Below are 12,072 nucleotides of genomic sequence, written 5' to 3'. Positions count from 1 at the left end.
TGCTTCTCCAAAGCAGTGGCTGACTGATTTTATGGTTGCCTTGGAGAATATAGCATGAGTTGCCCTCTTAACTTCTGTATTTGAAGAGGGGAATGCCCTGGTCCACCATTCAGATCATCATACAGAACAACTCTGGTGACTAGCAGGAGGAGTGTCACCATGGGATGTGCCTCCATGTGATTGGAGGAGGACTATGATCTGTACCCTCCAAGTCCCAAAGAAAGGAATCTAGCCAGCTGGGAAATAATACAAGCAGTGCATCATCGTGACCAGCAAACTATTGTTAATGCCTGACAGCAATACAGGTATTAACTACTTCTTACATGACACACTTTGCAGAAAGAGAAAAACTATCATTCAAAATCAGCATTCCCCCTTTTATCTAGGATCTGACCCTATTCAGCAACATTTCTTCATTCCATCAGCAGATTTGAAAGTCTGGATTTAGTTCTTAAACGTCTCCCTTCCAAACCCATAGATGAGATTTGCTCAAAAAGAAGTATCTAGAAGGCAAGTTTCTCAAGACACCATAAAATTGTAGGGACTGAAGCAGTGATTGGATTGATTAATTCAATCAAGGCTGTGACTCAATGTTGGCTAATAATGAGACCCAGGCAGGGCTGAACAATGAAATGCTCTAATTGATTTTACGCATGTGGAATGACACACACACCCCCAGAGCATGCTACGATGAATCTGCATGCTGTGTGCATATAGATTTCACAGTGGATCAATTATACCACCCAGTTGCTTCAGGCCCTTATATTCTGCAATTCACAGACCAGTTCATTACTATGGTGTGAGTGCTTAGGACACAGGCTAAAAGGTGGCAGAGCCCATGAAGTCTGTTGTCACCTCATGTTCCCTTTAGGGGAAAGCAACTGCGTGGCACACACACATACCAGCCATGCCACAGGCTCAAGTGAATGCACGGTATCTTCCAGATTCTGGCATGACCATTGACTGGGCTAGAATTCCAAAGCCCTGGTTTCAATTAAACTTAAGTGGATTTGACTAAAAGTTTGAACTGATGCTAATTGGTTTTCAAAACACTGAGTAACAAATAAGTGTTACAGTCTTGCCCACTGAAAGATGCGCCCAGTTCTGTACGTGCCCCTGGACAGCAGGGCAGGCCACACATCCCTTACCTTGCTGGGCAGGGATCCAAATTGCAGGACTTCAGGAGCTGTGGGGGCCGGCGGCTGGTCACGCACAGGTTCTCCTCAGCAGGCTCCCGAGTCTGTTTGTTCAAGCAGCTCACCACAGCCTCCTGGACACCTGTGTACAAATCACACGGTCAGGCCAGAGTGCAAAGTGGGTGTGTGTGTGGGGGGTGATGAAGTGTAGACAAGGCAGCTGGTGGGAGGTCCCTGTGTTCTGTAGGACTCTCGCTGTATGTCAGAGATGGCAGTTTAAAGCCCAGGACTGCCAATCTTGTCAAGCATCACTTGAGCTGGGAGAAAGTATTCATAAGCTTGTTGCCTCTGTGAGCATGCTCCTTGAGGAGGGCAACTCCCCCACAGAAGAGAGGCTGCTACCTAGACTCTTGAAATGCTTAAAAAAATGCCACGAGGCTAATGCCACCAATGCTGGAACATGATACTTCAATGAACAAGGAGCACAGGGTGGCAAAAAAGGGGCCCAAAACCTTCACATCTTATATTTTAATTGAAAGGAAATCGTTGTATTTGGAAGGGAGGCCCAAGGCCATGTTTTATATCCAGAATTCTGTAAACTGCTGGGCTCTTGAGGTCTTGAATCTAGGACTCCAGTCTTTGCTGTTTGCCTTCTGATTCTGGTTCATTTCTTTTGTGACCTAGGGCAGCCTTGGAAGTTGGAACAAAGAAGGAGAATAAGATGCATAATAACCACAGCCGTGGAAAACAACCTTCCCACTGACACCCGCAGGCCCTGACTCAGAGCTAGTGAAACAGGAGTTTGAGCAGTGACTGGCACAAGGTTACTGGGAAGTTCTCCAAGGTGGTTTGCAGGGCCCTTGGGGAGACACTTATTTTTATTTTATTTTAAAATTTTTTTTCAAGACAGAATCTTGCCCAGGCTGGAGTGTAGTGGCACGATCTCAGCTCACTGCAACCTCTGCCTTCCGGGTTCAAGCGATTCTCCTGCCTCAGCCTCCCGAGTAGCTGGGATTACAGGCGTGTGCCACCATGGCCGGCTAATTTTTGTATTCTTAGTAGAGATGGGGTTTCACCATGCTGGTCAGTCTGTCTCGAACTCCTGACCTCAAGTGATCTGCCCACCTCGGCTTCTAAAAGTGCTGGGATTACAGGCGTGAGCCATTGCACCTGGTCCCCTTGTGGAGACATTTAAATGAGCAATGTAATGACCAGACATTTCATTTTGATGCCCAGTCATAATAACAGTAGCTAACATATACAGGATGCCCATTATTAACCAGGTACCAACGCTAAGAGCTTGGCATGCATCATTCAGTCCTCTCAACAACTGCACAAAGTAAGCACTATTTTTATTCCCATTTAACAGATAAGAAAACAGGCTGGGAAGGGTGAAAAGACCTGCTTAAGTTCATACAGTTGTAAATGGTAAAGCTGAGGATGGCTGTGCCCTTAGTACTGACTGATAGACTTAATATTTAAAAATATTAAGAGGCTGTCATATCTACTTCCCTGGAGATCTTTAGGAATAACCTAGACATTTGTCTGGAATCATTTCAGCAGAGCTCAGTTTGAGTGAAGAGGCAAGACAGGACATTCTCACTAATTTGCCTTCAGACATACATAGCTGTGTATATAAAGATACTTACATTTAAAGATACCTATCTATAGCTGGACATTTATATATAGTTATAGTAGAGTCTGGGACTATCCATGTAATTAGCAATATACATAAATACACATATATTGCCTTGCTTTATTTTCTGCATTGCTTCATCAGATACTACCTAGTATAGTACAGTTGACCCACCATGCTGCTCTCCTCCCACGTATGCTGTGTTTCTCCAAGAAGTCATCAGCTCAATCATCAGCTAATACTTCCTAGGTTGATGTGACATTGATCTAGTCCACTTAGGAAGGCCATCATTTAAAAAGTGACTCAGCTGGAGTCCAAATCACCTTTCTTCTTTGTAAGTCTGAGAAATTAAACATTTTTTAAAAAAAAGAACCACAAAGCCAGGCACAGTGGCTCATGCCTGTAATCCCAACACTTTGGGAGGCCAGGGTGGACGGATGACCTGAAGTCAGGAGTTCGAGACCAGCCTGGCCAAAATGGTGAAATCCCGTCTCCACTAAAAGTACAAAATTAGCCAGCTATGGTGGTGCACACCTGTAATCCCAGCTACTTGGGAAACTGAGGTAGGAGAATTGCTGAAACATGGGAGGTGAAGGTTGCAGGGAGATGAAGGTTGCAGTGAGCTGAGATCACACCATTGTACTCCAGCCTGGGTGAGAAAAGCAAAACTCCGTCTCAAAAGTAAATTAATAAAAATAAAAATAAAAAAAGAATCACAATATTTACCCTGTGGCTGTGATGGTATCTTTACATTTTCTTTTTTCTAAATTGTTTATGAGCTTCAAAATTTAATTTAAATATATCATGGCCAGTTCAGGGTGGAGCATTTGAGATTTCTATTAGACATTCAAATTATTCCATCATATTCTGTAATGCTGACTGCAGGGTGTTCTCTTGGTTGTAGATGGGATGAGCCATTTGAAATTCATGGTATGACGACACAGCCAAACACTTCATAAGAAACAGTTGATATAATCACTGATACTTCCCACTGGAATAGTCTAGTATTATTAAGGTAGTGATGAGAAGTCACTGGATGTAGCTTTCTATCCCATACAGAATCTAGAGCTGTGGTTATCTTAGAAATTAAATTTTTAACTCATTTACCTGTTTGGTAGTATTCAAGAGATTCTAAATGAGACTCTAAAATAAAACATATTTTGCCTTTATTCAGCTGTTGAAAACCTTATGAAATTGGGTCAACGATCCTGAGGCAGGAAGTGACCGTGGGCTTGTCACATGCTTTACTTGAAAGTGACTGGATCAGGTGTGTGTGTGAAGGTGTGTAAGTGATGTGACCTGTGTTTCCACTTTGTGAACTCCTTCTTGATAGAACTTAGGCCCTTCTGGACAATGCCAAACCTCGCCCAGAGTCAGGTGTGTAAACCAGCTGGAGCGGCGGCGGCAGCGGCAGGACTGCTGTGGTGCCGAGAGTAGCAACCCGGAGGGAGTGACACTGGCTGCGGGAACCCGGTGACAGCGTGAGAGGTACTAGGTTTCGACAAGTTTGCATCATGCATGAGTATAAGCTAGTCATTCTTGGCCCAGGAGGCGTTGGAAAGTCTGCTTTGAATGTACAATTTGTTCAAGGAATTTTTGTTGAAAAATATGTCCTATGATAGAAGATTCTTATAGAAAGCAAGTTGAAGTAGATGCACAGCAGTGTATGCTTGCAATCTTGGATACTGCAGGAACGGAACAATGTATAGCAAGGAGGGATTTGTACATGAGAAATGGACAAGGCTTTGCATTAGTTTATTCCATCAAAGCACAGTCCACATTTAATGATTTGCAAGACTTGAGAGAACAGATTCTTTGAGTTAAAGACACTGATGATGTTCCAATGATTCTTGTTGGTAATAAGTATGACTTGGAAGATGAAAGAGCTGTAGGGAAGGAAGAAGGTCAAAAATCTAGCAAGACAATGGAACAACTGTGCATTCTTAGATTCTTCTACAAAATTCAAAATAAATGTTAATGAGATCTTTTATGACCTAGTGCGGCAGATTAACAGAAAAACTCCAGTGCCTGGGAAGGCTCGCAAAAAGTCATCATGTCAGCTGCTTTAATGTACTAAGTGCATTGCAGCTCTGAGTCAGCTCTGAAGAACTGTTGTCCAATTCAATAGTGCCAACACTCCAACTTTGTTAAACCTACCAGCATCTTAAATGGACTTTCCTGTGGTGGTACCCTTTAAGAGCATATGAAAGCTACTATATCAGTTTGCACATTCTAATCACTTTCAAGCTTCACAAGAGAGATTTTTACTTATATAATAGTCCTAGATTATGCAGCTGGTAAAAGCAGAGACTACATCCAGTATTACTGCTAAGAGACATTCTTCATCCACCCACGTTGTACATGTATGAAAATGGTGTACTGTATACTCTAACCCTCACTCATACTTTGTATTGGAGAGTACAATAATGTAAATCCTAAAAGCACCACTATTTTACCATAATAAAACAAAGTCCAAAGAGCTCCTATGTAGACTACTCTAGATGACTTTGCTTCTTTGATACTTGTAGCTTATTGTAATTTTTTTAAAGAAATTTAAGGTCACTATTATTGTAGAAAATAAGTGCTCTAATTAATACAGCTATATAGTTTTTAAAAATGTTTCAAAAACCTATGGAGACAGTGATCTTGTCTTTAAAATATGATAGTCCTTTCAGTATAATGTCTTCAACAGATTGCCTTTAATATCTGTTGGGAAGGAAATGGGCAGACTTTTCAAATTTCTTTATTTTTTATTTTTTTAAAATTTTTATTTTATTTTATTTTATTTATTATTATTATTATTATTATTATACTTTAAGTTTTAGGGTACATGTGCACAATGTGCAGGTTAGTTACATAGGTATACATGTGCCATGCTGGTGCGCTGTACCCACTAACTTGTCATCTGGCATTAGGTATATCTCCCAATGCTATCCCTCCCCCGTCCCCCCACCCCACCACAGTCCCCAGAGTGTGATGTTCCCTTCCTGTGTCCATGTGTTCTCATTGTTCAATTCCCACCTATGAGTGAGAATATGCGGTTTGGTTTTTTGTTCTTGCGATAGTTTACTGAGAATGATGATTTCCAATTTCATCCATGTCCCTACAAAGGACATGAACTCATCATTTTTTATGGCTGCATAGTATTCCATGGTGTATATGTGCCACATTTTCTTAATCCAGTCTATCATTGTTGGACATTTGGGTTGGTTCCAAGTCTTTGCTATTGTGAATAATGCCGCAATAAACATATGTGTGCATGTGTCTTTATAGCAGCATGATTTATAGTCCTTTGGGTATATACCCAGTAATGGGATGGCTGGATCAAATGGTATTTCTAGTTCTAGATCCCTGAGGAATCGCCACACTGACTTCCACAATGGTTGAACTAGTTTACAGTCCCACCAACAGTGTAAAAGTGTTTCTATTTCTCCACATCCTCTCCAGCACCTATTGTTTCCTGACATTTTAATGATTGCCATTCTAACTGGTGTGAGATGGTATCTCATTGTGGTTTTGATTTGCATTTCTCTGATGGCCAGTGATGGTGAGCATTTTTTCACGTGGTTTTTGGCTGCATAAATGTCTTCTTTTGAGAAGTCTGTGTTCATGTCCTTTGCCCACTTTCTGATGGGGTTGTTTGTTTTTTTCTTGTAAATTTGTTTGAGTTCATTGTAGATTCTGGATATTAGCCCTTTGTCAGATGAGTAGGTTGCGAAAATTTTCTCCCATTTTGTAGGTTGCCTGTTCACTCTGCTGGTAGTTTCTTTTGCTGTGCAGAAGCTCTTTAGTTTAATTAGATCCCATTTGTCAATTCTGGCTTTTGTTGCCATTGCTTTTGGTGTTTTAGACATGAAGTCCTTGCCCATGCCTATGTCCTGAATGGTAATGCCTAGGTTTTCCTCTAGGGTTTTTACGGTTTTAGGTCTAACGTTTAAGTCTTTAATCCATCTTGAATTGATTTTTGTATAAGGTGTAAGGAAGGGATCCAGTTTCAGCTTTCTACATATGGCTAGCCAGTTTTCCCAGCACCATTTATTAAATAGGGAATCCTTTCCCCATTGCTTGTTTTTCTCAGGTTTTTCAAAGATCAGATAGTTGTAGATATGCGGCGTTATTTCTGAGGGCTCTGTTCTGTTCCATTGATCTATATCTCAGTTTTGGTACCAGTACCATGCTGTTTTGGTTACTGTAGCCTTGTAGTATGGCTTGAAGTCAGGTAGTGTGATGCCTCCAGCTTTGTTCTTTTGGCTTAGGATTGACTGGGCAATGTGGGCTCTTTTTTGGTTCCATATGAACTTTAAAGTAGTTTTTTCCAATTCTGTGAAGAAAGTCATTGGTAGCTTGATGGGGATGGCATTGAAACTATAAATTACCTTGGGCAGTATGGCCATTTTCATGATATTGATTCTTCCTACCCATGAGCATGGAATGTTCTTCCATTTGTTTGTATCCTCTTTTATTTCCTTGAGTAGTGGTTTGTAGTTCTCTTTGAAGAGGTCCTTCACATCCCTTGTAAGTTGGATTCCTAGGTATTTTATCCTCTTTGAAGCAATTGTGAATGGGAGTTCACGCATGATTTGGCTCTCTGTTTGTCTGTTGTTGGTGTATAAGAATGCTTGCGATTTTTGTACATTGATTTTGTATCCTGAGACTGCTGAAGTTGCTTATCAGCTTAAGGAGATTTTGGGCTGAGACAATGGGGATTTCTAGATATACAATCATGTCATCTTCAAACAGGGATAATTTGACTTCCTCTTTTCCTAATTGAATACCCTTTATTTCCTTCTCCTGCCTAATTGCCCTGGCCAGAACTTCCAACACTATGTTGAATAGGAGTGGTGAGAGAGGGCATCCCTGTCTTGTGCCAGTTTTCAAAGGGAATGCTTCCAGTTTTTGCCCATTCAGTATGATATTGGCTGTGGGTTTGTCATAGATAGCTCTTATTATTTTGAAATACGTCCAATCAATACCTAATTTATTGAGAGTTTTTAGCATGAATTTTGTCAAAGGCCTTTTCTGCATCTATTGAGATAATCATGTTGTTTTTGTCTTTGGTTCTGTTTATATGCTGGATTACATTTATTGATTTGCATATATTGAACCAGCCTTGCATCCCAGGGATGAAGCCCACTTGATCATGGTGGATAAGCTTTTTGATGTGCTGCTGGATTTGGTTTGCCAGTATTTTACTGAGGATTTTTGCATCAATGTTCATCAAGGATATTGGTCTAAAATTCTCTCTTTTGGTTGTGTCTCTGCCCGGCTTTGGTATCAGTATGATACTGGCCTCATCAAATGAGTTAGGGAGGATTCCCTCTTTTTCTATTGATTGGAATAGTTTCAGAAGGAATGGTACCAGTTCCTCCTTGTACCTCTGGTAGAATTCGGCTGTGAATCCATCTGGTTCTGGACTCTTTTTGGTTGGTAAGCTATTGATTATTGCCACAATTTCAGATCCTGTTATTGGTCTATCTTCAGAGATTCAACTTCTTCCTGGTTTAGTCTTGGGAGAGTGTATGTGTTGAGGAATTTATCCATTTCTTCTAGATTTTCTAGTTTATTTGCATAGAGGTGTTTGTAGTATTCTCTGATGGTACTTTGTATTTCTGTGGGATCGGTGGTGATATCCCCTTTATCATTTTTTATTGCATCTATTTGATTCTTCTTTTTTTCTTTATTAGTCTTGCTAGCGGTCTATCAATTTTGTTGATCCTTTCAAAAAACCAGCTCCTGGATTCATTAATTTTTTGAAGGGTTTTTTGTGTCTCTATTTCCTTCAGTTCTGCTCTGATTTTAGTTATTTCTTGCCTTCTGCTAGCTTTTGAATGTGTTTGCTCTTGCTTCTCTAGTTCTTTTAATTGTGATGTTAGGGTGTCAATTTTGGATCTTTTGTGCTTTCTCTTGTGGGCATTTAGTGCTATAAATTTCCCTCTACACACTGCCTTGAATGTGTCCCAGAGATTCTGGTATGTTGTGTCTTTGTTCTCATTGGTTTCAAAGAACATCTTTATTTCTGCCTTCATTTCGTTATGTACCCAGTAGTCATTCAGGAGCAGGTTGTTCAGTTTCCATGTAGTTGAGCAGTTTTGAGTGAGATTCTTAATCCTGAGTTCTAGTTTGATTGCACTGTGGTCTGAGAGATAGTTTGTTATAATTTCTGTTCTTTTACATTTGCTGAGGAGAGCTTTACTTCCCAGTATGTGGTCAATTTTGGAATAGGTGTGGTGTGGTGCTGAAAAAAATGTACATTCTGTTGATTTGGGGTGGAGAGTTCTGTAGATGTCTATTAGGTCCGCTTGGTGCAGAGCTGAGTTCAATTCCTGGGTATCCTTGTCGACTTTCTGTCTTGTTGATCCGTCTAATGTTGACAGTGGGGTGTTAAAGTCTCCCATTATTATTGTGTGGGAGTCTAAGTCTCTTTGTAGGTCACTCAGGACTTGCTTTATGAATCTGGGTGCTCCTGTATTGGGTGCATATATATTTAGGATAGTTAGCTCTTCTTGTTGAATTGATCCCTTTACTATTATGTAATGGCCTTCTTTGTCTCTTTTGATCTTTGTTGGTTTAAAGTCTGTTTTATCAGAGACTAGGATTGCAACCCCTGCCTTTTTTGTTTTCCACTTGCTTGGTAGATCTTCCTCCATCCTTTTATTTTGAGCCTATGTGTGTCTCTGCACGTGAGATGGGTTTCCTGAATACTGCACACTGATGGGTCTTGACTCTTTATCCAATTTGCCAGTCTGTGTCTTTTAATTGGAGCATTTAGTCCATTGACATTTAAAGTTAATATTGTTATGTGTGAATATGATCCTGTCATTATGATGTTAGCTGGTTATTTTGCTCATTAGTTGATGCAGTTTCTTCCCAGTCTCGATGGTCTTTACATTTTGGCATGATTTTGCAGCGGCTGGTACCGGTTGTTCCTTTCCATGTTTAGCGCTTCCTTCAGGAGCTCTTTTAGGGCAGGCCTGGTGGTGACAAAATCTCTCAGCATTTGCTTGTCTGTAAAGTATTTTATTTCTTCTTCATTTATGAAGCTTAGTTTGGCTGGATATGAAATTCTGGGTTGAAAATTCTTTTCTTTAAGAATGTTGAATATTGGCCCCCACTCTCTTCTGGCTTGTAGGGTTTCTGCCGAGAGATCCGCTGTTAGTCTGATGGGCTTCCCTTTGAGGGTAACCCGACCTTTCTCTCTGGCTGCCCTTAACATTTTTTCCTTCATTTCAATGTTGGTGAATCTGACAATTATGTGTCTTGGAGTTATTCTTCTCGAGGAGTATCTTTGTGGCGTTCTCTGTATTTCCTGAATCTGAATGTTGGCCTGCCTTGCTAAATTGGGGAAGTTCTCCTGGATAATATCCTGCAGAGTGTTTTCCAACTTGGTTCCATTCTCCCCGTCACTTTCAGGTACACCAATCAGACATAGATTTGGTCTTTTCACATAGTCCCATATTTCTTGGAGGCTTTGCTCATTTCTTTTGATTCTTTCTTCTCTAAACTTCCCTTCTCGCTTCATTTCATTCATTTCATCTTCCATCGCTGATACCCTTTCTTCCAGTTGATCGCATCGGCTCCTGAGGCTTCTGCATTCTTCACGTAGTTCTGGAGCCTTGGTTTTCAGCTCCATCAGCTCCTTTAAGCACTTCTCTGTATTGGTTATTCTAGTTATACATTCTTCTAAATCTTTTTTCAAAGTTTTCAACTTCTTTGCCTTTGGTTTGAATGTCCTCCCATAGCTCGGAGTAATTTGATTGTCTGAAGCCTTCTTCTCTCAGCTCATCAAAGTCATTCTCCGTCCAGCTTTGTTCCGTTGCTGGTGAGGAACTGTGATCCTTTGGAGGAGGAGAGGCGCTCTGCTTTTTAGAGTTTCCAGTTTTTCTGTTCTGTTTTTTTCCCCATCTTTGTGGTTTTATCTACTTTTGGTCTTTGATGATGGTGATGTACAGATGGGTTTTTGGTGTGGATGTCCTTTCTGTTTGTTAGTTTTCCTTCTAACAGACAGGACCCTCAGCTGCAGGTCTGTTGGAGTACCCGGCCGTGTGAGGTGTCAGTCTGCCCCTGCTGGGGGGTGCCTCCCAGTTAGGCTGCTTGGGGGTCAGGGGTCAGGGACCCACTTGAGGAGGCAGTCTGCCCGTTCTCAGATCTCCAGCTGCATGCTGGGAGAACCACTGCTCTCTTCAAAGCTGTCAGACAGGGACATTTAAGTCTGCAGAGGTTACTGCTGTCTTTTTGTTTGTCTGTGCCCTGCCCCCAGAGGTGGAGCCTACAGAGGCAGGCAGGCCTCCTTGAGCTGTGGTGGGCTCCACCCAGTTCGAGCTTCCCAGCTGCTTTGTTTACCTAAGCAAGCCTGGGCAATGGCGGGCGCCCCTCCCCCAGCCTCGCTGCCACCTTGCAGTTTGATCTCAGATTGCTGTGCTAGCAATCAGCGAGACTCCGTGGGCGTAGGACCCTCCGAGCCAGGTGCGGGATATAATCTCCTGTTGCACCGTTTTTTAAGCCCGTCGGAAAAGCGCAGTATTTGGGTGGGAGTGACCCGATTTTCCAGGTGCCGTCTGTCACCCCTTTCTTTGACTAGGAAAGGGAACTCCCTGACCCCTTGCGCTTCCCGAGTGAGGCAATGCCTCGCCCTGCTTCGGCTCGCGCACGGTGTGCTCACCCACTGACCTGCGCCCACTGTCTGGCACTCCCTAGTGAGATGAACCCAGTACCTCAGATGGAAATGCAGAAATCACCCGTCTTCTGCGTAGCTCACGCTGGGAGCTGTAGATCGGAGCTGTTCCTATTCGGCCATCTTGGCTCCTTGCCTGAAATTTCTTATTATATGTTTCCTTTTCTGTTTACATAAGGAACAATGTTTATAGTCATGTATACAGTGGGTGCCTACAACAAGAAATGTATATTTTCAAACAATTTTTTAATGATGTAACAATTTTTGTAAATCATTTTCAGGCTTCTGCAGCTGTAGATCATCACTGTGAATTGCTTCCTTGCTCATGCATAAGTGTATCTGCAATACTAAATATACAGGTTTAGTATTTTTGCCTGTTAGTGATTGTTTCATATGTGTAACGTTTTGGTTGAGATTTTAAATGGTGGACGAGTACTGTGGGTGTGAATGTGGGAAGTAATTTTAATCATATGGAATTGGTCACAAGGCCCAATATTCAGTAAGTATTGCTGTTTTGTTTAACAATGCCATGTTGCTTTGTATGCATTAACGTTTGGATGTAAAGATTGTGTCCATCCAACAAGGAGCCACAGTATTTAAATTGACCAACCCAATGTTACAACTACTTT

General features: G+C 41.6%; 1 protein-coding gene and 1 pseudogene across 16 annotated transcripts in view, besides 1 other annotated feature; one reads left to right on the top strand and one right to left on the bottom strand.

The window, feature by feature from the left end:
* The window catches only part of ADAMTSL1 (ADAMTS like 1), a 1,004,318-nt gene that overhangs the window by 188,137 nt on the left and 804,109 nt on the right, over nucleotides 1-12,072 (bottom strand). For all 16 annotated transcript variants that reach the window (XM_011518064.4, XM_017015312.3, XM_011518063.3 and 13 more), the window contains one exon: nucleotides 1,149-1,278. In XM_011518064.4, the coding sequence (XP_011516366.1) occupies nucleotides 1,149-1,278 (130 nt within the window). The remainder of the gene's footprint in view (nucleotides 1-1,148; nucleotides 1,279-12,072) is intronic.
* RAP1BP1 (RAP1B pseudogene 1) lies at nucleotides 4,122-4,903 on the top strand (annotated as a pseudogene).
* Nucleotides 10,686-11,271: an enhancer, noted in NCBI's record as "H3K27ac-H3K4me1 hESC enhancer chr9:18711541-18712126 (GRCh37/hg19 assembly coordinates)". NCBI's record gives its function as "activates a minimal SCP1, AML or CMV promoter by ChIP-STARR-seq in naive H9 embryonic stem cells {active_cell/tissue: H9 hESC(naive)}" and the evidence as "EXISTENCE:reporter gene assay evidence [ECO:0000049][PMID:30033119]".

Source organism: Homo sapiens, chromosome 9 (assembly GCF_000001405.40).
Source record: "Homo sapiens chromosome 9, GRCh38.p14 Primary Assembly".
In the NCBI taxonomy this organism is placed as follows: Eukaryota; Metazoa; Chordata; class Mammalia; order Primates; family Hominidae; genus Homo; species Homo sapiens.
This window is presented reverse-complemented; position numbering and strand designations above follow the sequence as displayed.